The sequence below is a fragment of the Homo sapiens genome, chromosome 13 (genome assembly GCF_000001405.40).
Source record: "Homo sapiens chromosome 13, GRCh38.p14 Primary Assembly".
Taxonomy (NCBI): Eukaryota; Metazoa; Chordata; class Mammalia; order Primates; family Hominidae; genus Homo; species Homo sapiens.
The window spans coordinates 25,145,308-25,172,441 of record NC_000013.11 but is presented as its reverse complement, the minus strand read 5'-3'; the positions used below and the strand labels follow the sequence as shown (position 1 = coordinate 25,172,441).

Sequence of the window (27,134 nt, the reverse complement as noted above, 5' to 3'; positions counted from 1 at the left end):
AGGCCCACCTGTGGAGTGGGTCTGAGATTCCCAGCCTGTGTGTCTCGGTCAGCTTGTCTATTGTTATCAGATGTGGGCTGTGCCGCAGCATCTGTGACTTCATCCCGTGGTGGCTGGAGTCTGGGATAAAAGTCATGGTTGTCCCAAAGGTGCAGGCAAACTCCACCCCGGGGAGCTGTTGTGCTTGCATTGCTGGGCTGCTGATAGACTGATTGAGTGGTGGCGTGTACTTTTGTCACAAGAACCATAACCACAATGACAGCCACACAGCATGGACCTAGCGTGTGCTCAGCTCTGGACAAGACATGGATGTAGGCAGACATGCTTCCTGCCTGCTGGGCTTAGTGCACCAATGCTAAGGACAGACATGAAGGGCTTGGGAAAGGCATGAAGATGCAGGGAGTCTAGGAGAGAGGATAAGAAAAACAAGCATTTTGTGGTGGGTTGAATTGCGTTGTCGTTTTTAGAGGCATTTCGTGATCCATGGTTGCGCTCCCGTGAAGAGCGAGTCTAGAGAAGGAATCCGAAGGTGGGTGAGAGTTGAGGGAATTTGAATTCCATAATTACGACTCGAATTTCTGCAATCAGCTCGCGGCTGTGTTGCCTGCTCCTGCCACAAAAACGCCATGCAGCGCCGAGCCAAGTCGGATGGAAGTGGGTTAGGGTATTATATAAGCCCTTGCGGGAGGGAAGATGGTCTTTTATGTGTGTTTCTTTTGCAGCGGCGGCGGCGAGCGCGGCTCAGGTTGATTTAGAATACGGGTGACAGTGGCCTGGCGCGAGCCCACTGCTGACGAAAGCGGCTTATCCCGCGCGGTTTCCATGGAGACGAGCCGGAGCCGCGGCGGCGGCGGGGCTGTCAGCGAGCGCGGCGGAGCTGGCGCGTCCGTGGGGGTCTGCAGGAGGAAGGCGGAGGCCGGGGCCGGGACCGGGACCCTCGCGGCAGACATGGACTTGCATTGTGACTGTGCCGCCGAAACGCCGGCCGCCGAGCCGCCGTCGGGGAAGATTAATAAAGCTGCCTTCAAATTATTCAAGAAGAGGAAATCGGGTGGCACCATGCCCAGCATTTTTGGGGTCAAAAACAAAGGGGACGGGAAAAGCTCGGGTCCGACGGGGCTGGTGAGGAGCAGGACCCACGACGGACTTGCCGAGGTGCTGGTGCTGGAGAGCGGCAGGAAGGAGGAGCCGCGCGGCGGGGGCGACAGCGGCGGGGGCGGCGGGGGGCGGCCGAACCCGGGGCCCCCCAGAGCCGCAGGGCCCGGCGGGGGCTCCCTCGCCAGCAGCTCGGTGGCCAAGTCGCACAGCTTCTTCTCGCTGCTGAAGAAGAACGGGCGCTCGGAAAACGGCAAGGGAGAGCCTGTGGACGCGAGCAAGGCCGGCGGCAAACAAAAGCGGGGGCTGCGGGGGCTGTTCAGCGGCATGCGCTGGCACAGGAAAGACAAGCGGGCCAAGGCGGAGGCCGCGGAGGGGCGCGCGCCCGGGGGCGGCTTGATCCTACCCGGCTCGCTCACCGCCAGCCTGGAGTGCGTCAAGGAGGAGACGCCCAGAGCCGCGCGCGAGCCGGAGGAGCCCAGCCAGGACGCCCCGCGAGACCCAGCAGGTGAGCCCGCAGGGGGAGAGGAGGTGCCCGCCCCCGCCGACCGCGCCCCAGCGCGGAGCTGCCGAGAGGCAGAGGGCCTCGCGCACCCCGGCGACACCGGCGCCCGGGGAGAGGACGCCGCGGGGCATCGGCGCGCCGAGCCGGGGCCCGGGGAGGTCCGCACGGCAGAGGACGCTTCCAGGACGGGGGCCGTTCCCGTAAAGACGGTCCCCCTTGTCGACTCCGAAGGCGGCAGCGGCCGGGCGCCCGCCGCCCCAGACCCTGCCTCTGTCGATCCACCCTCAGACCCGTCGGCAGATCGTATTTGTTTGATGTTTTCTGACGTGACTTCACTGAAAAGCTTTGACTCTCTTACAGGCTGTGGAGATATTATTGCAGACCAAGAGGAAGAGGCAGGTCCCAGCTGTGACAAGCATGTCCCCGGGCCAGGCAAGCCGGCTCTGTCTAAAAAGAACCCCGGCGTGGTGGCCTACCAAGGAGGCGGGGAAGAGATGGCCAGCCCGGACGAGGTGGACGACACCTATCTACAGGAGTTCTGGGACATGCTCTCCCAGACCGAGGAGCAGGGACCCGAGCCCCAGGAGGGCGCGGCTAAGGTGGCAGCTGCGCTGGAAACCAAGGTGGTGCCCGAGACCCCCAAAGACACCAGGTGTGTGGAAGCGGCCAAGGACGCGTCCTCGGTCAAGCGCAGGAGGCTCAACCGGATTCCCATCGAGCCCCATCCTAAGGAGGAGCCCAAGCACCCGGAGAAGGAGCAGCAGGAAGGCGTCCCCAACAGCGACGAGGGCTACTGGGACTCCACCACGCCAGGCCCAGAGGAAGACAGCTCGAGCAGCGGGAAGAAGGCGGGCATCCCCCGGGATAGCTACAGCGGGGACGCGCTCTATGATCTCTATGCTGACCCGGACGGAAGTCCAGCAACCCTTCCTGGAGGGAAGGACAACGAGGAGACGTCCTCCCTGTCCCGGTTAAAGCCCGTATCTCCAGGCACCATCACCTGTCCACTGCGAACACCAGGCAGCTTGCTGAAGGACTCTAAGATCCCTATTAGCATCAAGCACCTGACCAACCTTCCATCTAGCCATCCCGTGGTGCACCAGCAACCCTCCAGGAGTGAGATGCCCAGAACAAAAATCCCGGTTTCCAAAGTGCTGGTCCGCAGAGTCAGCAACCGGGGCTTGGCTGGGACCACCATCAGAGCAACGGCCTGCCACGACAGTGCCAAAAAGTTGTGAGGTCTTCCAGGCCAAGGTGGATGGGCCCCATGCCAAGGAATACAACTTTTCCCTGGAAACCACTAAAGTAAGTTTTGCTTTTCCTAAAGAAAGTCTTTTAGGACACCACCCGTCCCCCGCCCTGCTCCAGAGCGTGGACCGAGGAGGTCTTTGTGCCCTGAGCAGGGACCGGATAACACCAGAAAGAGGGATGCTACACGGGGGTTTCTCCTCTCAAGATAAGTCCCTGAGAATTATTTTCAAGCACTTTTTTCTTTTTTACCTTTAAGTTTTTCTTCCTTTTGCTTTAATATACTGAACACTTGGAAGTCACCTTTACTTGCCTTTGCAGAAAACAGAACTTAGCCAAACCTAAGTAAGAGTCATGCCTGGATATTGGGATAAGCCAGTGTCTAGAGGCCTGAAGGAACCGCTGAAGAACCAGAGGAGATCTCCTCTTCCAAGACACGTTTCCTTCCTTCCCTTCTTTCCTCTTTCCTTTCCAGTTAAAAAAAAACAAAAACAAAAACAAAACCCTTTGCTGTATCACTGTGTGGAAAATACCTCCAAAGCTGAAAGAGCCAGGTATTTACCTGATGAGCAGAGGGGACCACTGATTGGCAGAAAACTTCCCTACGTTCAGTTGTTAGATATGCAAATTGATAAGGATCTAACACTAGGAAAATAAAGGCGAGTTTTGGTTTGGTTGGTTTCAGTCATTTGTTTGGGGAGATATAAAAGGCTCAGGAGAGCAGGCTTTTGCTTTTGCTTTTGTTTGTTTCTTCCCCCACCCAGTGCAGAAATCAGGATCAGGGAAAGATTTTATTAAATGCCAATAGATACAGTATTTAAGCATTTATAAACTGAAACCTTTTCATGTGAAGATAATGCATATTTTACCGTTTATCCAGCTGTTAACATTTTGTAATCAGTCAATTCAATAGAATTATTCTGGATAATTCTATATCTAGAATATAAAATCTGGTCTTATAGCTAGACATGATGATGGTCCCCAAACCATTGATGTTCTGTTATGTACTGTAATGGGAAGCGATTCTGATTTTGTTTTATATGGGTTCTCTGGTTCTCAAAAAAAAAAAAAATCTATTGTGCTGGTGTCCCAGAGGAATGGCTCTGCCTTGTTTTGGGTAAGAGTCTGTTTCTCACCCCAAACCCTGTTTTCAGATTTTTTTTTACCTTGATTGTAAAATTTCAGATCCAACCATTCCTCAATATAATGAGTGCAAAATGAGGAACACATAAAGAAAAACAATAGAAAGATACAGTTTTTCACATCATTTGCCTTTTGCTTTATAGACTTATGACAAAGACAAGTGTGTTCAGAATATGACACTGGCAAGCTTATGTATTGTAAACACTTTATGCCAAGTTTTTTTTGAAAAGTGGTTTGCTTCTATGTATGTTTTCTAATATTTCAGATGAAACATTTATTTCAGAAAGGGTTATTATATGCCTAGTTTGAATGATAAACTGAAGCAGTTCCTAGAATGCTATTAGTGTCTAATGATGAAATTAATATCCTTTTTGAAATACACTTCAGTGTATTTAATCAAAAGACCAGAGCTTCTACTAGGAGGTGATTCATCATACCAGGAAGATTATGCATATTCACGTGAAACTGCACATATGTAAATGACATGAACACTTCTGTATAAGTCTCATTTCCAGAGAGATTGCATTAGTAATGAACTGTTATTACATGCTTTTTAAGTTTGTTTTCTGTTTCATAAATGAAAGAACAAGGCAAGTTAAATATATGAAAACCTATTTTAATAATATGAAGAAAGTAACAAAATAAATGGACATCAAAGGAAAGCAAATTGAGCCAGTAGCAGAAAGTAGGCCATTCCCCATTTTAAATTTGCAGTGATTCAATTAGGAGAGGTTTGCTGAATTTCTTCATTAGTCATATGACTGGCTTTTATTGCATTGTCTCAGATCCATAATGTTATTTCAAAGTAATCTTTTAATATTTAATTTCTTTATGTGTGTAAATGAGGCCCTATATGCAGTCATAGCCTTAAGCATTCTGAACACACTACCAAGAATTCATATAAGCATCTCACACTCACGTGCTCATGCACTCAACTGTGTACAGACTAACAGACAAAAGACATCTACTCTAGATCTGGAAATTATTTTTGAAATTATTTCTGTATTAAACAAGGGATTTACATTTGATTTCATGCCGCTGGTACTATTTAGGCTCAAAATACATTCATCTTCCCCTAGTGAATGGAGAAAATATAAATTTTATTCCTAGCTGTAAAACAAAGGATCTTGATTTCCTTGTTGTACATTTTCCTGCAAGGGTTATATTCTCCTTTGCATGAATCCATGGCAAAGTTATGTTGGTTCATTTGTTCAATTGTACAGGAAAGTTAAGAATACCTGAAAAACTTATGAGAATATTGTAATAGTAAAGGCAATCTATTTCTTAAGCAGTAGAAGAAAAGTTTTTGCTTTCATAATTTTAGGACTTAATCCTCCATTTACACCATTATGCTGTGTCTCCTCTTTATAAGAAAAGGAACACGTGAGCAAAGTTTATCTTAATTTCCACTGACCTGTCAATTAACCAGTTATAAAAGATATAAAATATTTTCTTTTAAAATTTATATTTTCCACTTTTTTTTTACCTTATTTTTTAAGAATTGCACCCACACCAATCAAATAAAGGATTTGGGCAATGAATTAAACAGCCTCAATCACTTGATGGGAAATCCCTGGAGTGGCAGGAAGAGTAGATTCTCAACTTTTTCCAACCATAGAAAAGGGATCATAGTTGCTTTCTTGTGCCAAGGGCTACTTTCTCTCATTTGTGTTCATGGAGATTGTTTTTTCAAGAATTTTCCTAGATTTACATTCCAATTTTTATTAATACATTATATCTAATGACCTTGTGAAGATTATTCAGGCCCATATTTGCTGACTTTTTAAGGGAAGGATTGGATAGAGGCTAATTATATCTTTCCCACATGTATGTATATTCTAAGATACTTGGTTGATTGACTTCCTTTAGTTGAAAGGCTGCCCAAATTAGACAGGAAAAAGTCAAATCAATTGTTGGGCGAAAATTTATCGGTTGGTTTAATAGCTCTGCACAAAGACAGCCTGACTTGAATGTCTATATTACACATACACTGTTATTTGAAACACTCTGCTTTAGTACAGATGGTGGTTGATGCGTTTATCCTGCCATTAGCACCAATTGGGAGAAATTTTACTACAGCATTTTAAATAATCACAAGAGTAAATAGATTTCTATTATTTTATCTAATAACAACAATAGAATATAGAATACAAAGGACTTCCTCTAGATACATTTTATTTTATCTAATAACAACAATGGAATATAGAATACAAAGGACTTCCTTTAGATACATTTTCCACAAATTATCTGCTTATTTAAATACAAAGGGTTTAATATCTATGAAGGTAATAACTCACCGTGTTTAAAGGATTTATTTCTTCATCTCAGAGGTAGTCTTCAAGTATTTGCAGTTAAACAGTATGCAAATAGCCCTTTGCTTACACAATTATCCAGGTAAAAAGACTATGTCAGGTGTTGAGATTTCTTTGAATTTTCTAAGAGTTTTCATTATTTACGCCTTTGTCAGATTAATTTTAAAGGCAACTCTTGACTGTTAGCTTGGTGTGAAGAGATCCACTCAGGCAGCTCATGTCTCCTAAGTGCCCTCAGACAGCAGTGACGGGACACTTCACATGACGCTAGCATGTTGGCTCTGTCCGCATGGCGGAATGCATTCCCTGCTGTTAGTTATCTGAATTTTTCTCCTGAATTACAAATATATGGATTTGGCTCCCCTGATGCTGGGCTTCTGCTGAGACCTGTTCCAGTACATTCACGTATGCTTTGCTCCCCTTCATTGTTAAGAAATTAATTCAAGAAGTTTTTTGCTGTTAAACATAAGGAATAAGCATCACAATTGCCTCATCTCATCACTGAGGAAAGCTGGTTTAAAGTATCTGAGTGAAATAAGAGGAAAACCCCAAATACTTCACCTAACCCAGTTTCCCTTTCCCCTCCTCCAGGCAGAGCAAGGAAAAGAACAGTTGTAATTTGTGTAAACTCAGCCTTAGAAAATTTCAATTCATTACACACAAAAATATTTATGAAGCAGTTTGGAACCAAAGGGGTAGTATGGTAGACGAGTGTCTTACAGAGCCTGTGTGGGGAAGCAAAAGGCAAGGGTGTAGTTCACAGGCAGAAGCGAGCTGTGACATTGTCAGTGCAGCGTGTAAGTGTGGCTCCTCACAGGCGGCCATTGATTGTGAGACCTCATCTTGCTCTGAAGATTTCCCGGTGGCTGTCATGCATTGCTTCTCAAAAGCCTTGCACTGTGATAAGGTTTAAGGAGACAGATTGTTGCAACAATAGCCACTTCTAAGGAATGTTATTATGTCACTGCAGATGATGTTTTTAAGAGGTGATTCAGAATGATAGTTTCGTGATTACGGAAAGGAGTTCCTTCTCAAACTGCAAAAGGAAAGATGAAAATAGTCATGAAGCCTCCAGAACTGAAATTGGGCACCTTTTATGATGGATATTTACTTTAATTCAATGCAACACATATTTATGGGGCATAGACTGTATCAAATACTTAATAAAACCCATTCAGTTTGGAGCTCACACCTAAGCTGCGCTGTAATTGGATTTTCTTAATATTCATTAAAAACACAAAACAATATTATTTTACTTTTTTTTGGTATTTGCATTTGTTGCTTATAGTTTGTGGGGTGAAGCAAAGTGGTGTGAAGTTGAAGAAGGGCACTATGAATTAAGCCACACAAATGCCTCTAAAAAATAGTAAATGTAACAATGGTTAACATTCATTGAATACTTACTATGTGTCAGGCACTGCTAGGAGATTTAGAAATAATTACTTAGTCCTCTTAACAGCCATGTGGGGTAGGTAATATTATCTCCCCAGTAAGACAGCTTTAATTCATCCTTTTTGTTTCTATCCCTTTCCATCTCTGTCTGTCTGTCTCTCTCTCTCTTTTCCCCTAGTCTCTAGGACAGGGATATAAACTCTTTAGTGATTTTCAGTAATAGAGAGCTAAGCACTGCTTAGTGTCATTGTCAGCTCACTTCTAATAGAAAGAGCTAACCCATGTCCACGCAGCTGAAAATTAGTTTTGTGTCTGAGATGATGGTGCTCACAATCATATACAGGGAACCCTGCCACTGTGCTATGCTGAGTAGGCAAACATTGGCCTTCCCTTGGAGGGATCCTCTTCTCTTAGGATTAATGTGGGAAGTACAGACAGAAATCTCTTCTGTTGTCATGGCGATACTTCTTCCCTGACAGGGTATCATTCATTCAAAGCATATTTGTTTCATTTGTTTTTATTCCTACCTTAAGCCATCTTGGTGGGTTCTGGGTGGTCTATGCATATGTGTGTGTGTTTTAATTGCAGTAAGAATATTGAATATGAGATCTACCCTCTTTAATTTTTTTTTTTTTTTTTTTTGAGATGGAGTCTTACTCTGTCACCCAGGCTGGAGTGCAGTGGCTTGATCTCGGCTCACTATAACCTCCACCTCCCAGGTTCAAGTGATTCTCCTGCCTCAGCCTCCCAAGTAGCTGAGACTACAGGCGTGCACCACCATGCCCGTTAGTTTTTGTATTTTTAGTAGAGACAGGGTTTCACCATGTTGGCCAGGCTGGTCTCAAACTCCTGACCTCAAATGATCTGCCCACCTCTACCTCCAAAGTGTTGGGATTACAGGCAATGAGCCACCACGCCCGGGTTACCTTCTTTAATTTTTAAGTACACAATACAGTATTGTTAACTATAGCCACAGTGTTGTACAGCAAATCTCTCTCACCTATGCATCCTGCGTAACTGAAACTCTGTGCCCATTGAACAGCAGCTCCTCATTTCCTCCCCCATCAGCCCCTGGCAGCCATCATTCTACTCTCTGCTTCTGTGAGTCTGGCTATTTTAGATCCCTTATAGAAGTGGAAACGCGCAGTATTTGTCCTTCTGTGACTGGCTTATTTCATTGAGCATAACGACCCCCAAGTTTAGCCATGTTGTTGCTTATGGCAGGATTTCCTTCTTTTTTCAGGCTGAATAATATTTCCTTATATGTATATGCTGCATTTTTAAAAACCCTTTCATCTACTGACAGACGTTTAGATTATTTCCACATCTTGGCTATTATGAGTAATGCTACAACGAACGAGGGAGTGAAAATATCTCTTTAAGATCCTGATTTCAGTTTTTTTGAATAAATACCCAGAAGTGGAATGACTGGGTCATTCATATGGTAATTCTAATTAAACATAGAATTATTTTTAATTTTTTGAGAAACTTCTGTGCTGCTTTCCACAGTGGTTGCATCTGTTTACATACTTACCAATGGTGCACAAGGGTTCCAATTTCTCCACATCTTTGCCAACTTGTTATCTGTGTTTGTTTAAATGACAGCTGTATGAGTTGTCCCTTGCCTCCATGCAATTCTGAACTTCAGAAATAAGCACTTGGCTCCTTTAATAGCTGTCCGTCCTATGTTGTGTCTACAGCCACTGAATCCTGTCCTACATTTTCTGATTCATTAACTCATTCAACTAATAGCTATTGAACACCATCAATAAGTCAGCCACCATGAAGATGAGTATTTTATATTGAATTCTACTAACATATCCTGTATGTTTACTATGTTGCCAGAGAGGATGCTGTGTGCTTTTTTTACATTGTTATCTTTACTCTTCACAAGAACCATGTAAGGTAGGTATTGGTAAAATGGGTAATTTTGGAAATGCTTCAATAATCGAGTAGAATAACTTTTGCTCTATGTGAGAAGATACGTTTTAAATAAGATATGGCTTAGGTTTCTGGTTACCTGAGACATACTATACCTTCTCAGATACTCTCAGACCTGAATCATTTAACAAACTAAGGCAGAAATACTAAAAATATCTGGTTCAATAACATAGGGGCATGGAGTAGACATGCAGAAAATGCTTGTTCACTTGCCTTGAAATGGCTCCAGGTGGCCTGAAGGAATCAATGAAACTTCTCAAGTATCTACATTACAACCACTGGTCCCCACTACACATTTATTTCTAAATAAAGGAGGAGAAACTCTAGCAAAGTAATATTTAACATTTTCATTGCTTCCAGGATAAATCTTATTGAATATGGAGGATCTGATAGTGGTAGGTCTATCAGGAATATCAGGGAAAATGCTTTTGATGTTGTTGGCAAAGTCAATTCCTATCATTTGTACTTGACACCAGCTACCTAGCAGGCTCATTGTGAACTTCAGGTTTCGCCCACGTTATTTATATAAAGTATCTCAGTGTAATATAGGGAGTTGCTGGTTATTTGAAAATAGTAACAAAAATAACCCAAACGAGAAACTCCATTTCCATAATTAGCTTTCCTGAAAGTCAGGCATGTCTTTGAGGACAGGTTTTGGCAGTATTATTTTTGTGCACAGGAGGAAAATTGTTAGTAGGTTTATAGATGTTATTTTTATAATAGAATGTTAAACCCCTGAAAAACATCAAAAATTGTCTCCTAGAACTAATTCTATGTTTTAAAAACTTGTTTTAAAAAGGATTCTAAATAGCAATAGGGTCTTTCCTCCTTTCTCCACTCCAATGGTTTAATGGGATAGAGGAATCAATGTTTATATTTTTAAACCTGTAAATATTTTATTTTGGGTATTTTGTATATTTGTTGATATAATTCCATTTTGTGCATATGTACCATTGTGCATGTTGCTGTTTTTGATAGTCACTCTTTTAATGAATGTAAGAAGCTTGGGCTAATAGCACTTTTCTTGTTCCATTCAAACATCTGAAAATGAAATTACAACACTGCCATTTTACTGTTGTGTTTAATTCAGTCAATAAATTTTGTTGCTCCTTTGCATTTAAAGTGAATTCTGTTGGTTGTTATTTCTCCAGGATCAATTTTATTTCCGGTCTTTTCAATTTTTATAAATTATACTAATGATGGTGATGATGAGGAGGTGATGTGTGTGTGACTATCTCGTGGAAAGACCAATGGGAGGCCCATATTTCTCTCCACACTTCGTAAACAAGTGAAAAATTCCTTGTTTGGTTTGGGCAGCTGTCTTTTGAAAAGTTCATTTGTTATTCCGACTCTGATTTGAATTCTGAGTCTTTTACTCAGAAAATCTCCATTCCTTATCATCTCTCATGAGGCCGGCTAATCCGTGCTGACTGTCAGGTAGTGGCAACATAAGGGCCACTGGAGTCTTTCTAAAGAGTTGCTTTCTGGTTTTTGTTTATTTTGGTTCTGGTGGTATGTTTTCATTTTCTATGTGTAACAGGTAGGGAAGCCTCTCAAGGAAAGGAGGCCGGAAACCACAAGATGTAGCTACTGATCCCTGGAGGCCAACAGCTATCCATTCCTTGGTCCAAGAATGAGCTGAGAACCATAAGGGGAGGTGGATGCATCCACAGTAGGGTGGCGAGGACTGTTTCCTAGACCTTTTTTGGTAGCTGATGGTCAAGCACAGAAAATCAGTCAGGATAAAGAGATTTGAGCAACACCTTTGGCCACATATTATAAACCTGGACCAAACAGTTAGAGAATCCACGTTCTTTTGAAAAGCAAATGAAACATTTGTGAATGTTGATTACATCCTAGACCATGAAGTAAGTCATGACACATTTCAAAAAATAGTTCCTCACAGAATGTGTTCTCTTACCATAACACAGCTGCAGTAGAAATTAGTATTAAAAAGATAATTAAAATCACTCCATACATTTGGACATTTGAAAAATGCACCTTTCAATAGCTCATGGATCAGAGAATAAATGAGTAAGGATATTAAAAAACAATTAGATGTGCATAATTATGAAAAGGATCTATATTAAGACATGAAATATAACCAGATCTGTACTTAGGAGAATTTTATAGCTTCAAATAGGTTATAAAAGATAAGGAGCTGAGGATTAACAAGCTGAGAATCCATTTTAATTAAATGTAAGAAGTTAAGAAAAGAATAAAAGAATAAACACATAGGAATTTTAATTAAGAACTGGCCAGGTGGCTCACACCTGTAATCCCATCACTTTTGGAGGCTGAGGCAGGTGGATCACTTCAGGTCAGGATTTCGAGACCAACCTGACCCACATGGTAAAACCCCATCTCTACTAAAAATCCCAATTAGTTGGGCATGGTGGCTGAGGCCTGTAAATCCCAGCTACTTGGGAGGCTGAGGCAAGAGAGTCGCTTGAACCCAGGAGGTGGAGGTTGCAGTGAGCTGAGATCGGGCCATTGCACTCCAGCCTGGGTAACAAGAGTGAAACTCCGTCTCAAAAAAAAAAAAAAAGAAAAAGGAAAGAAAAGAGAATTAATATTAATAAGAGCAGAAAGCAATAATACAGAAAACAAAGATACCCTAAAGTAGATCAATAAAGATAAAAATTTTTTGAAAACCATCTAACAATATTTTTAAAGAAAAAAAAGAAAAGATAAAAAGTATGGTTCAAAATTAGATGGGCATAACTACAGTTGCAGTAGAGATAAAAAGTATAATGAAAGAATGTTATAAATATTATGGCAATAATTTTTTTTTGAGACAGGGTCTAGCTCTGTTGCCCAGTCTGGAGCACAGTGGCATGATCATGGCTCACTGCAGCCTGGACCCCTTGGGCTTAAGCGAGTCTCCTGCCTCAGCCTCCCAATTAGCTGGGACTGCAGGCCCACACAACCATGCCCAGCTAATTATTTTATTTTTTGTAGAGGTGGGTTTTCACCATGTTGTCCAGGCTGGTCTCAAACTCCTGGGATCAAGCAATTTCCTGCCTCGGCCTCCCAAAGTGCTAGGATTACAGGTACGAACCACCATGTCTGGCATATTATGACAATAGATTTTTAAAACTAAGGTAGAATATACAAATTCGTGTGCGTGTGTGTGTGTGTGTATAAAACATAGGAATATATGCGTATATATATATTATATATATGAGACTATATATATTATATATGAGACTATATATAATATATATGAGACTATATAATATATATGAGAATATATATAATATATATGAGACTATACATAATATATATTATATATGAGGATATATATAATACATATTATATGAGAATATATTATATATTATATATGAGAATATATATGATATACTATATATTATATATGAGAATAAAATATATATTATATATGAGAATATATAACATATATTATATATGAGAATATATAACATATATTATATATGAGAATATATAACATATATTATATATGAGAATATATAACATATTATATATGAGCATATATAACATATAATATATATGCTCATATATAACATAATATATATGCTCATATATAACAATATATATGCTCATATATAATATATTATATATGCTCATACATAATATATTATATATGAGCATACATAATATATATGAGCATACATAATATATTATATATGAGCATATATAATATATTATATGAGAATATATAATATATAACCAAAAGTGACTTGAGAAGAAATAGATAACCTAAAGAGTCCTGGAACTATGAGAGACAGTGAATTGGTAGTTAAACTCTTTCTCTCCCCCTCCAGACAAAACAAAACAAAGCAAAGCAGTAAAACCAGATAGCAGAACCAATGTTTCAGCAAAATCTAGTGATCAGGCAATTCCAAATTTATAGAAATTTATAGAATTTATAGAAATGTATATAATTATTAAAAATTATAGACACATCTCTATTGTGAAATTCAACATTTCTATATAAACTATTAGAAAAAATTGAATCTAGTAGTCTGTAAAATCAACCATACATCATGATTACGTTGAGTTTATTCCAGGAATACAAATATGGATTCCTGTTAAAATGAAATCCCTATAAATATTATTTACTTCTTTAAGAGATTGAAGGAGAAACATATGATATCTCAAAGTGATAGATTCACATGACTGAAGCAGTTCTTAGTGTCCTCTAACAATTCCAGAATTTGGATACCTAATTCCTGTCGTATTCCTGAAGAGTACTTAAGTTCTTCAGGACAGTGGGTTTCTTTAAACTTTAAACACTTTGTCTAGCAACATTATTTTAAGCAATTGCTCACATTTCATTCAATTTAAGGTACTATAGATGCGCTCTTCTTTCATGTGTCGCAAAAAAAGGCTGCCAATTGTAAGATGCACTCAATTTCAGAGACGTAAAATTGTGAAAATGTGGATCTTAGAATGGATGAAATATTGATGTATTTGTTAAAAGTTTTAACAATAGTATTTTTCCTCTTCCCTTAGAGAAAGGAAGGTTTTCTGTTTTTTATTTCTTTTTGAAAAAGACAATTATCTACAGATACCAAATGTCCAGACATTTGGACGCAATTAATATTTAGTGAAGAATGTGTGAGACAGACACAATCAAGAACTCAGACTTTAGGAAAATTGTATATTCCTTTTTGTGTAGAATTTTACATACTTGTTGTGAAATGAGCATGGAAAAAACTCACTTGTACTCAGGGTTATTTTACAAACTTCTCACTTTGAAGAAAGTGAAGGCCTGCATGCCTGACATTTTTACCTCTTATCTTTCTTCATCAAGAAAATCTCCCAAGTTGGCAGGAAGAATACAGTGATCATTATTTTATCTTTCCCCGTCAGCTGCTGGCACCTCAGTGTTTCCCAGAAGACACCAATTTCTCACAGATATATGTCTGGTACTTCTTTGCAGATGGTAATGTGTTTCTTAACAAGCTTCTAATTCTTTCTTTTGCCCATGGGACTGCATTTCAGAAGACTCGCATCACATCTTGTTTTCTCAGTCTTTCAGAAATGCACCACCAGGTCTGATGCAAGCCTACAACCAATAATAGTGGCTGCCTGGTAGATGTCAGGTGGATTTCTTCTCTCCTATGTGGAGTGGCCCATCCATTGGTAAGTCTAAGCCCAACATTTGGTTCAAGGAGTGATGGTCCACCAAGATTGATATCCCAACCTGTAGGTCTTTAAATAGCAATAAAAGATGACACTGTACTTGGCTGCACTCTTGCAGATGATCTGTGGTGCCACCCGCCCAAGGACTTGCACCTTTTAATTGATCATTTCTTTTCAGATTTTTGGTTGTAATCTTTCCTTCTCATTAACATCATTATTTTTTATTCTCTTAACTGCCTTTCTTCATACTGACCTTTAGTCCAACATTATCTTCCCAATAATTCATTTATTTTTCCTTGGGGGAAAATCCATACAATTCTTGCTTTTGGGGGAAATTTGTTCTGAGAATCATGTTGTGAAGAACTGGTGTTCTTTGGGATTTTTGTAGAATAAGTAATTTGTCTGGTCTTTGTTCCTCTTCCTGGGAGATAACCTCTAAATCCTTGGAAATTCCTGAGTGATAAACTTGTCTTCATTATTCATGGGGGGCTCCTGGACCACACCTGAGTTTATGCTAATGAGATGACTTAGGATTGGGGCTAGTCACACCAGAAATACCAACCCTGTGATTAAAGGGTTGGGGCTCTGAGCCATGGCTTCCTGACTCCTGGATTCCAGAATGGGGAAGAGGGCCGGAGATTGAATTCAAGTACATGGCCAGTGATTCATGGAATTAAACCCTAATAGAATCTCTGGACGCTGGGGCTTCTTGGATGAGCTTCTTGGTTGGTGAACACATTGATGTGCCAAGAGGGTGACATGTCCCAATTGCAAGGACAGAGAGCATGAAGCTCTGTGTTTGGCACCCTCCCAGACTTTGCCCCATGTGTTTCTGCATTTGACTGGCCCTGAGTTGTGTCCTTTATAATAATTGTAACAGTAAGTTTAGTGCTTTCCTAAGTTCTCTGAGTGGTTATAATGAGTTATCAAACCTAAGGGGGTCATGGGAACCCCCAAATTGTGCAAGTGACCTGGACCTCTGAATATGTGGCTGCCATCTGAAATGAGGACATTCTTGTTCCCTTCACCTCATGGAATCTATGCTAACCTGAGTGGCCAACATCAGAAACGAATTGCAGTATTGCCGAATACAGTGAAAAGAAAGGCTTAACTTTATCAGCTCCACATCAAGTATTTAAAAAAATCATTTTCATTATATTTTCTATAAATAAAGAAGTAAAAATTGATAGTATGTTCTTATAGCTTGTATGTCCAATTGCTCTGCCAGCTACACTTGTTTCCCAGCTATTTCATGAAACTTTGTCTCCCTGAAGAGATCTTTTTCCCCTCCTGGCATATGGCTTTCACTGGGTACTCCTCAGAGGTGTGCTTTGAGGAACTGATCTCAGCCTTTAGGGCAGCCTGGCAGGGCCTGGATGGGCTGGCCAGCATGCTGGCTTGGCATTCCTCTGAGACTGGCTGGAAAGGAGGTGGAGGACCCAACACTGTCCCATGGTTCCCCCAGGACTGAGCACGGATGAGGAACACTGGGACTCCCTGCAGCATTAGGAGGGGCAACCAAGGTGACCCAGCACCTGGAGATGGACTTCAGCCACCTGCTCCTTATTTAGTGGACAAGCAGGTGGAGCTGCTGCTGGAGTTTATGTTGGAAATGTCCAAGGAGCAGATCTCCATGGCTCAATGTGTAGCCTTTTTTGGGGTGGGAGTGCCAGGTAGGCCAGGCCCCAATCTCTGCCTTCCCGTTCACCAGGCTTGTCTGTTTCTGGCTGATGGGCACTTTGAGTGGAGTCTCTGTCCTCAAATGACTGTTCTAAAGCAAGTAAGATAAACATGAAAAAGGGAGAGCTTTTTCTTTGCAAAATGTTTGATGCCAAAAAGTCCAACTGGAGTCAAAATCTATTTGCCACTATTGTAAGACCTTTCATCATGAAAGAAAAGAAAGTGTTGTTAGATTCTTTAAATCTAATTTCAAGTGTTATAAATGTTTGGAAGATTTGCAAAATGGTTTCCAACTTATCACCCGTTCGTGTGAACACGTTTTCTCCTGGATGGCGACTATGGAGATTTAGAAAAAAAATGCAGAGCCACTTTTGGCTCAAAACCCAAGAGACAAGCTACGCCCAAGACAGCAAGCCCACATTTCTCAGTAAAGTCCTCAAAAAGATTTTATTGAAAAATTTTAAGAAAGTTAATATTAAATAGTTCCCTGGATACTTATTTTTCTTGACATAATTATGATATGAAGAAAATGTAATGCGGTTTACCAAGTCCCATACGGTTGTCCTCAGATCCCCACTGTGCTGTATAAATATTGTCATTTTCTATGAGCGCCATGACAGGAAAAGCTTGGGAGGGCCCTGCCCTTCTCAATGTCGTGAGGTCTCCAAGCTCATGTGAGATTCACTCACCTTTTAGGGAAACTCCAGACTGCAGTCAGTCATTTCAGTTATTCTCCCCGTTTTACATCAGAAGAAAATGACTTTCTATTTCTCCCTCTCCCAGTAGCTGTTAAATAAGAGCAGCAATAGCACCAATGAATAACATAATGAATCTCAGTGGATTCTAGTATGAAATTCAATTACAAACTTAAATATACACATTTGATAAATTTTTCATTTTAAAATATCAGAAAGCAATAGAAATGATAACCTGGTCCTTTAAATTTAAATGCAGTCCTTCAAATGGTGGATGTCTGAGTCCATTTTCTGTTGCTTAAAACAGAATATCAGAAACTGGGTCATTTATAAAGAAAAGAAATTTATTTCCTACAGTTATGGAGGCTGAGAAGTCAAAGGTCAAGGGGCCACATCTGGTGAGGGCCTTGCTGGTGGGGATTCTCTGTGGAGTCCTGAGGTGGCACAGGGCCTCACATGGCCAGGGGCCTGATTGTGCCCACGTGCTAGCTCAGGTCTCTCTTCCTCTTCTTATAAAGCCATCAGTCCCACTCCCACGGTAACCCATCAATCCATTAACCCATCGATCCATGAATCCATGAATGGACTAAGCCATCATGAGGGCTCTGCCAATCACCTCTGAGTACTGCCATGTTGGGGATGAAGTTTCAACATGAGTTTTGGAGGGGACAAATATTCAAACCACAGGAGTGGGCAATTCAGTTGAGCAAAACTGTGGGTTCAGAGGAGCTCTGGAGCATATACTTCACCACAAACCCCGAGCCACCTTGACACAAGTGAGTGGGCCTTTTCTTCTCTGTGCCAGCCAGCTTTTAGCTTTTAGACTGAGCATCTTTTTCTATATTTACTGGCCGTTTGGGTTTCTTTTTCTGAGCACCACCTGCTCATAGTTTTCACTTTGTTTCCTCATCTCCCTAAAGCCTCTGCTCTCAACCTGCCCAGAAAACAGGACAATACAAGTGTTTCCCTAAACAGGTGTTTCCTTAGTAGCAAGTCTGATGCCAGCTTTAAAAATAATTTCTCCGCCCTTGCTACCTGGGTAATTACATAAAAGAGAAAACAGTGAAGGCAAATGGAATGGAAAGAAGGAGGAATTCTGCTGCAGACACTAGGGCAGCTCTGCCCAGGTCTCCAGGGAGGCTCAGGTGCTGGTGCTAATAATAACTTGAAGGAAACAAAAACATTTCACCCCAAAATATCCTTTGGCATATTTTGAGATGGCCGTTCAGAGGACCAGTGAACAGAACTAGCCTTGCAAAGCTGCCTTTTGTGAGGCAGATTTGCATCTGTAGAGAAAACCCGGCTTGAGGCCATCCTGGTTTCTCTGAGTCCTTCCCTTGTCTGCATCTAAGAACAATGAACTGAGAGGCTGACAGTTGAACACTGCATGTTCTCACTCATGTGTAGAAGCCAAAAAAGTTGATCTCATAGAAGTAAGAAGTAGAACAGAGGATACTAGAGGCTGGGCAGCCTAGGGGGAAGGGAGGACAGGAAAAGGTTTGTTAAAGGATACAGAATTATAGCCAAACAGGAGGAATAGCTCTAGTGTTCTGTAGCACTGTAGGGTTACTATAGTTCACAATAATACGTCAGATAGTTTCAAATAGCTAGAAGGATGATGCTGAATGTTTCCAACACAAAGAAATGATTAATGTCTGAGATGATGGATATGCTAACTGCCCTTTTCTGATTGCCGTACATTATATGTATTGATATATCACTGTGTGCCCCGTGAATATAATTATTGGTTGTCAATTTAAAAAATAAGAAATAAATAAAAGGTGAATCTAAAGAAATAAAAATAGAAGTCTAAAAACGTTTACCATTTGTTCTCTCTGAAGGCTGCTTTCACCTATGTAACAAGACCACCTTTGCTGGCCAGGCCTCCTCTTCGCCCTGCTCCCATAACCTGCTTTGCCACAATTCAAGCCCCCATTCTTTCTATAACCTCAGGATGGTATATAAGCTTCTGAACCCCTCTGGAGGTGGGGGCTATGGCTCTCTGGTTCTCCCCTGTGTGTATTTAATAAATCTGTGTTCCTTTTGTGAGTTGATTTTTCAGTGAACCTTCAGAGGGTGAAGGGGAAGCTTTCCTTTCGCCCCTACAGACTCATCTCTGCGACCTTCTCTTGGCTGGAACTCCCTCTCCAGGTGTGTCTGCAAGCTGCCCTCATCCCACTTTGTGCCTGGAAAGGGGACACACAGGCCCTGCTCCCTGGACTGAAAGCAGGTCAGGCTCTCAGGTGAAATCTCTGCTTCAGGTGAAATCTCTGCTCCAGGCGCCCACAGGGTCTGGCAGAGGGTAGATCTCCCCAGAAACCGCATCCTTTCTCACGCTTCCTCTTGCCTTTCCTCACCCTTTCCAGATGCTCCTAGGAGCCCTCCTGGAATAAAACACAGGCCCAGGGGTCCCACCTGGCCATGCTTTTGGGGAACCCAGCCTGACATGGAAGGGGAAGATGGATTTTTCCTGAGGTTGAGATTTCCCGAGTAAGATTTGGAATTGGAGGACACGGAGAGAGGGAGTGGTGAGGACAAGGGAATCAATATGAGTACACGAGAATGAGAGAGGGGCAGTCTAGCTGAAAAGCAGCGATGTGGGCGGAGAAAGGAGAGCCAAAAGGAAAGTAGGAGAGGCACACATTCTGTGTCTCTTACGGGGAGGAATAAAATTGCCCAGAAACTGTGGTTTCCCGAGCCCAAGGAGGTGGCCGGAAAGACCTCTGATGGAGCCTGAGACGTTTGTGGCTACGTCCTTGGTCATCTGTGGGTGGGGCACTAGTTTCGACCCCCGGGGACCTGGTTTCTGAAGGTTGCACACCAGGTAGGGTGCCTGCTCCACTTGTCCCTGACAGTATGTGGTCCTGCTGCTGTACGGACATTCTCCTGGCAGTTTTTGTTTCATCTGCTCTGACTTCCTCGCTCTGCTCACCTAGGGATCTAGTGCAGTGAATGTGGCTTATCTGATAACAGGTAGACCACATTCTAAGACCTGGTAAGTGATGACAGAGTTCCCTTTTTATGTGAGTTAATTGAATAAGATAATGAGTGCAAAAGGCTTCGCAAAACACCAGGCACACAGTAAGTGCTCAATACATGTTAGCTATTATCATACCTTTCGCACCAGGTGGAGATGACAGTGATGAATTAAGGGTGATTAATCACACTCCTAGAGATTTAAAACCTAATAAGTCGGAGGTTTCCAGCAGGCTCATGCATATGACCTCTTGATTTTCACAATAACCCAGTGAGATGGGTAGGGCAGAATTGTTGGAACTAGAATTCCAGGAGTTTTGAGCTGAAAAGGGCCTCAGACATTATGTCTCCCAACTCTTTTATTTTACAAATGAAGAAACTCAAGTCCAAGGAGGAGAAATGACTTTTCTCAAGATTCCACGGGGAGTGAGGGGCGATTCTAAAGTCAGTTATGTGTCTGCTTCTCTTTTCTAGCAAGGGGTGGAATGCAGAAGGGCCAGACTGGAGGGGAGAAACCTGTTCTCAAGCTTTTGCTGCACCTCCAGGCCTTGTGAATTAAGGAAGGTAGAGAGGAGGAGGGGAAGACACAGATTTGAGAGAGATTAGAAGCTGGTAACAGTACTTGGTGAAGAACTTGGTATGAAAGAAGAGAGAGAGAGAGAGAGAGAGAGAGAGAGAAATGGCAGACGACTCCAAAGTTTCTAATTTGGGTAAAGGGTAGAAGGTGATTAATAGAAACAGGAAAAATTTTGAATGAAAAGCAAATATTGGAAGGAAAATTGGTTAATTAGGACATGTTGGGTTGTGAGCCTTCCTTACATGAGATGAAAGAGTAATGGAATCGTCTGATTTGGAGGTCATAAGGATTCACAGTTCTGTTCCTGGGGAAGCAATAATATGTATATATGTTTTAAAAAATCTTCTGTGGACAGAAATGTCTATGCCCGTCATTCTGACAAAGTGAGCTGGATTATTCAACAGTAAACAATTCCATTTTCAGTGGAAAAACAGAAGGAATGTGAGTCACTTCAGAATATTGTTTACCATTCTGAAGGAATGGATGAGGAATAAAAAGAGAGTGCCTCTCCTTCTAGAAATTTCCTTTCAGCTGGATCATGTCTTCAGGTGACCTTAAATTTCTGTTTCACTGAATGGAAATAATCAAAGTAAGATTTATCTCCAATAAGTCAAGGGGTAGGTCAAGGCAGTAGCTGAAATCACACACTTGTTGTGAGTATCCTGGTATAATGGATGGTCTTTTTTTCTTTTTGGTAGAAACAGGATCTCCCTGTGTTGCCCAGGCTGCTCTTGAACTCCTGGCCTCAAGTGAACCTCCTGCCTCGTCCTCCCAAAGTGCTGGGATGACAGTGTGAGCCACCGCACCCGGCCTATAACGGACAGTCTTGATTCGCCTTCGCAGCATTGAGCCTCCGCCTTTTGGTATCTCTTGGCCCCCAGTCCCTGCAGGGAGATCCTGCCTGAGAGAAAAGCGGTGGCAAACAGAGTGGAGAGCTGGAAAGAGAGCCAGGGAGTGGGAAGCAGATCCTGATGCCCACGCTCACCTGACATGAATGTGACCAAGCTCTGCTCTTGAACTTTTTGACTATCTGAGCCAATTAATTCCCTTTCCTACTATAGGTGATTTGAAGTGTAATTTCCAACACTTGTAACAACAACAGAAATCCTTACTAAAGCACTTAGGAGCATTAACCTTTAAAATGTGATCCTTGAACTTCAGTCCTTGGATTCTGTGTTTGTGGGTAGGTGGTGATACAGTAGATGGGTTAGTAGCTCTTATTCCAGCCCTCCCTAGAGTGCAGAAGTTGGAAAGTGGGAAACTACATTCCCACCCCCTTTGAAGCTGGGACTCTGGACAAGGTTTAGATTCTGCCAGTAAGATGAGCTTGTGCGAGACCTTGATTAGAAACAGGGTCACCTGGAGACAGCGAACCTCAGGTGAGATTTGATCTGGGATGGAGTTACACAGGAGAAGAGAAGAGTGGGGTGTGGGGCTCCCGTTTTGCCGGCAGAGATCCTGGTGGAGGCAGATCGCTTTTGCGCCAGTAGCTGGTGGTGGCTTTTGATTTGGAAGCTTCCTCGCTGGGCAGAGGCAGACCAGCTCTACTGTAGGGCTGCAGGCTCCCAACCGTTGTGTGAGCTATCTGTTCTCTGAGCAAAGCCCCCTCTACTTAAACTGCTGTACTGTATTGTGCAGTTTGTTACTAAGAGCCTTGAACAGTGATATGCAAAGTACATGTTTCTAGGGAAACAAACTGTGGACTTTGTCACATTTTCAACAAGTTTTTTCATCCAAAAAAACTGGTTGGGTTCAGGGATGGAAAGGGGTGGAAGGGCCACTGAAAAGGAGCATAAGATCCATGAGGGAGCCCTCACGGATGCTGAGGATAAATCAGCAGAACCAATTGTGAGAGAGGAGTGAAATGCTAAAAGTAGGCCACTGCACTTGGCAGATTCCGGAGCTCTCCAATTAGGATGCGGAGGGGCAGCATCCTAATTGCCGTGAATGATGGGAGAGTAGAGCGAGGACAGGAGATGTTTGAACAAAACATGTTCTGAAGCAAAGAAAAGAAAAGAATGAGAGATTGATTTTCTGGAAGAAGAAAAGTTGTTTTTTCCGCCCTCCCTTCCTCCCTTTCTTTCTTCTATTTTATTTTTATTTATTTTAGAGATAGGATCTCACTCTGTCATCCAGGCTGGAGTGTAGTGGCACAAACATAGCTCACTGCAGCCTCAGCTTCCTGGGCTCAAGAGACCCTCCCACTTCAGCCTCCTGAATAGCTAGGAGGCACACAGGCGTGTGCCACCATGCCCAGCAAATTTTTGTTTTTATTTTTTAGAGGCATGGTCTCACTATGTTTCCCAGCCTGGTCTAGAACTCCTGGGCTCAAAGCAATCCGCCTGCCTTGGCCTCCCAAAGTGCTGAGATTATGGGTGTGAACCACCACGCTGGGCCTTTTTCTTCTTCTGACAGTGAGAGACATATGTAAGTTCATGTGCTGAAGATCAAGAGCCATGCGGCAGGAGAGACTGAAGCTACACAAAGAAAAGGGAGTAACTGATAAAGCTAGGTGTAAGAGGAGGGCAGGCAGGCGGGGCAGGAGCAGAGGTGGCAGGCTTTCCTTGGACAGGACGCCTTTTCTGATATTGCAACAGTGGCGGAGGTGCAGATAGATGAGAAGTCAGAAGAGAGAAGCTGGGGGCTATGTCCCTGATGGCTTCTCTTTTCTCAGTGGCATAAGAGGCAGGCCATCTGTGGAGGGTGTGAGGACAAGGTCTGCCTGTAGCCTGGAGAAGGAATGCAGAGGCTGCTTTGGAGAACGGAACAGGGCACTGGGTTAGTCAGGACTTCCCAATAGCAGGTGACAGAAAACCCTGCTCAGACTGACTGAAACAAAGAGGGCAGTCACTGGTTCATGGAAAGGCCAAGGGCAGGGCTGGTTTCAGCGAGGTATGTATCTAGGAATTCAAACAGTGCTATCAGATCTTGGTTTCTTTTCCTCTCTGTTTCATTGGTTCCAATTCTCAGGGGCCACTGCTTAGTCCCTGGCTCATCCTCTTAGGATCCAGCACAAGGAAAGAAAAAGGAGGTTTCCTCCTGGAGGTCAAGTGCAAATTTTGGCATTGACCTGGATTCCACTGATTGGGGTCTTAATCTCATCTTCGAACCAATTTTCGTGGCCAGGGATTTGTCTGACTGTGATTGGTCAGCCTCTGGGACATGTGATCACCTCTGATCCAATCATTGCTGGGTGCTGAAGAGCCACATGTGGGTCACCTGTTCCATCCCTTAGCACAGGGCAGGAGCCACACTCAAATTAAATTTCCCCCAAGTGGAAAGAAGATGAGGAAATCCACATAGGACAAGCAAGAGCGATCAATGTGAACGACAGGCATCGCTTCAGGTCCAGGAGGGCTCACGTTCTTAAAGTGGAAAAGGGAAGCCAGAAAGTGGGAGGGACTTAAGGTGACTGCCAAAGTCTGAAACAGCACCGTGGGGACTGAGAAGAGATAGTTTACCCATGAATACAAGATTATAAGCACCACTCCACCCCTAGGTTAGATAGCACAAATACATAGATGAGTCAATCAGCACAATTCTGAGAGTGTTTTTTGTTTGTTTGTTTTGTTTTGTTTTTAAGCAGCACTTGGTAGCCAGCCCTACAGTGTGAAAGCAGAAATGTCCATAGACATATACCTAATGTAGACAGAGTTATAACTAGAATGGAAAGTGCTCTAAATCAGTCACAATGTACTGATTTGTGGGAAATTCCTGGGGCATGCACAGATCATGCAAGTTGACAAGTTATGGCTAGGGAGCAAGTGTGGGTCTTCAGCTTCTCCTATAGGTGAATTTACTCTTGGGAAAAACTCAGCGGGATAAACACGGTGCATTGCTGTGAGGACTGTGAGTTGTGTTGTGTGCCTTCTTGGATTTGATGTACTCATGTTAATCACATGTAACTAAGCCAGTACTTAAAATAGATGGGCCACCAGTGAATTAGCATGTGATTTGCACAAAATCTGCTTTCAGTTTTAATTTTATGTTGCTCCCCTTAGGGTATTCTTAATAGAAGCAATAATCTTTTTTGATTCCTGATTCCCTCCCTACCCCCAGTCTCAGTTTTTCTCATTCACTCTTTATAGTAATCAAAATATTTTCCACAAATCTACAGTTGAGTCAGAAAAAACGTTGAGCCTGATGGTGAGATGGGACAGTAAGGGCTCCAATAATCCCTATAGGACAACTTTTGAGAATATGACCTTCAAATACAGAGATGGAGTTAATTATGTATCACAGGAATTTAAAAGCAAGAGATTTGCTTATATATTTTAAGCAAATATTTGTATATTTTCCAAGTAATATAGGTTGCACCATTTTTCTTATAATAGAAATTTCACAACAACTTCCTAATACACCTCTTTGCTTCCAACTCTTCTGTGTATCTATTCTATGTGGCTGGGAGAGTCATCTTTCTCCAGAACAGCTCTGACAAGGCTTTGCCTTGATCAAACAGCCTTATTGCTTTGAGAATAAAGGTTGCATCTTTATGGTCTTCTAGATCCTTTAAAATCTGTCCTCTAACTTCCCTTTTATTATTTTAATTTTTCTTTTTTTTTTTTTTTTTTTTTTTTTTTGAGACGGAGTCTCGCTCTGTCGCCCAGGCTGGAGTGCAGTGGCGCAATCTCGGCTCACTGCAAGCTCCGCTTCCCGGGTTCACGCCATTCTCCTGCCTCAGCCTCCCGAGTAGCTGGGACTACAGGTGCCCGCCACCACGCCTGGCTAATTTTTTGTATTTTTAGTAGAGACGGGGTTTCACCGTGTTAGCCAGGATGGTCTCGATCTCCTGACCTCATGATCCACCCGCCTCTGCCTCCCAAAGTGCTGGGATTACAGGCGTGAGCCACCGCGCCCGGCCTTTAATTTTTTATATTTAAATATTAAATGTTCCAATACACTGAAAAGTTGACAGAAAGAATAAGAGACATCCAAGTGCCCACAACCAAGATTAGACTGTTAATTGGTTTGCCATATTTATTTCCTATTTTTGTTTAAAGAAAGTCTTACAGATAATCTTAGAGATGGGGGGAAAATCCCAACCAAGATGTTTGGTGGAGTTTCATATTAAAATATTTGATAGTTTTCCTAATCTCACACACCACTCAGCACAACACTCCTGATACAAGGTGTGTGGGGATTTTTTCCCAGACACCAAACAATTCTAGAGTGGACACCAGCTGGGTATCCTGTAATTCAATTCAACTCAGTTCTGACACTATCTCCTTGGAGATAGCCTCAGATGCCACAGGTTAAAGGCTCAGTTCCATAAGACTGCTGCCACCCTCCCCGCCCCCCCCACCCCCGTTTCAGATGCCAATCATAAGGCTCATCTGTGACCCGTGCTTCTGTACAAGCAGCTATAAATTGGGGTTCCCATGGCTCCTCCTCGTATTAGACTAATTTGGTAAAGTGGCTCACAGAACTTAGGAAATACTTTACTTACCATTGCCTATTTATTATGAAGGCTATTACAAAGGGTACACATGAACAGCCAGATGGAGAGATGCATAGGGTAAAGTATGGGAGAAGGGCCCTGAAGCTTCCATGCCCTTTCTTGGGGCACCATCCTCCAGGAACTTCCATGTGTTCTGCAACCCAGAAGCTGCCCAAACCCAGTCCTTTAGGGGTTTTTATGGAACTGTCATTATGTGGACATGACTGATTGACTCATTGGCCATTGGTGATCAACTTAACCTTTAGCCCCTCTCCCCTCCCTGGAGATTGGGGGATGGGGCTGAAAGTCTCAACCCTCTAATCATGCCTTGGTCTTTCCTTTGACCAGTCCCCACCCTGAAGCTATCTACAGGCCCTTAGCTACCAGTCATCTCATTAGCGTAGCGTACAAAAGACATTCTTTTTTTCTTTTTTTTTTTTTGAGACAGAGTTATCGCTTTTGTTGCCCAGGCTGGTGTGCAAGGGCAGGATCTTGGCTCACCACAACCTCCACCTCCCAGGTTCAAGTGATTCTCCTGCCTCAGCCTCCCGAGTAGCTGAGATTACAGGCATGTGCCACCACACCCAGCTAATTTTGTTTTTTTAGTAGAGACAGGATTTCTCCATGTTGGTCAGGTTGGTCTTGAACTCCCGACCTCAGGTGATCAGCCTGTCTCGGCCTCCCAAAGTGCTGGGATTACAGGCATGAGCCACCACGCCCGGCCAAAAGCCACTCTTGTCACTGGAAATTCCAAAGGTTTTAGGAGCTTTTATCAGGAAGTAGGGACCAAGTATATATTTCATAATATCACAGATCTGGTGGAGGGTCTCTGCGGCTCTCCATCCCCATCTGGCATTCACAATGTGGCTGCCACCAGATTCCTCTCTTTGCTGCCCTAGAGAGAATCGCTGTCCTGAAGTTATGTATCCTTTTTATCCATGTTTATATATTTTTGTTAATCATATGTGGATGTGTACATATGTAAAAATATGTATATATTTTTGTT

The 27,134-nt window shown here is 42.6% G+C and overlaps 1 protein-coding gene across 5 annotated transcripts, besides 1 other annotated feature; it reads left to right on the top strand.

Moving 5' to 3' along the window:
• Positions 1–153: 153 nt before the first annotated feature.
• AMER2 (APC membrane recruitment protein 2) lies at positions 154–10,763 on the top strand. Of its 5 annotated transcripts, NM_199138.2 has the most exons (3): positions 275–529; positions 723–1,603; positions 1,961–10,763. In NM_199138.2, exons 2-3 carry the CDS (start codon positions 823–825, stop codon positions 2,836–2,838), a joined length of 1,659 nt encoding a protein of 552 aa, NP_954589.1. In that variant the 5' UTR covers positions 275–529; positions 723–822; the 3' UTR covers positions 2,839–10,763. The 5 variants fall into 5 exon arrangements, with proteins under 5 accessions (XP_016875904.1, XP_005266337.1, NP_689917.2 ...); XM_017020415.2 differs by having other exon boundaries at positions 154–311; positions 723–10,763; XM_005266280.5 differs by having other exon boundaries at positions 154–439; positions 723–10,763.
• Positions 1,575–1,664: a silencer, noted in NCBI's record as "silent region_5183". NCBI's record gives its function as "represses an Ori minimal core promoter by ATAC-STARR-seq in GM12878 lymphoblastoid cells {active_cell/tissue: GM12878}" and the evidence as "EXISTENCE:reporter gene assay evidence [ECO:0000049][PMID:35858748]".
• Positions 10,764–27,134: the final 16,371 nt, after the last annotated feature.

Excerpts from the sequence above, each read along its gene's own strand:
- AMER2 (XM_017020415.2), top strand. The coding sequence starts at position 823 with ATGGAGACGAGCCGGAGCCGCGGCGGCGGCGGGGCTGTCAGCGAGCGC.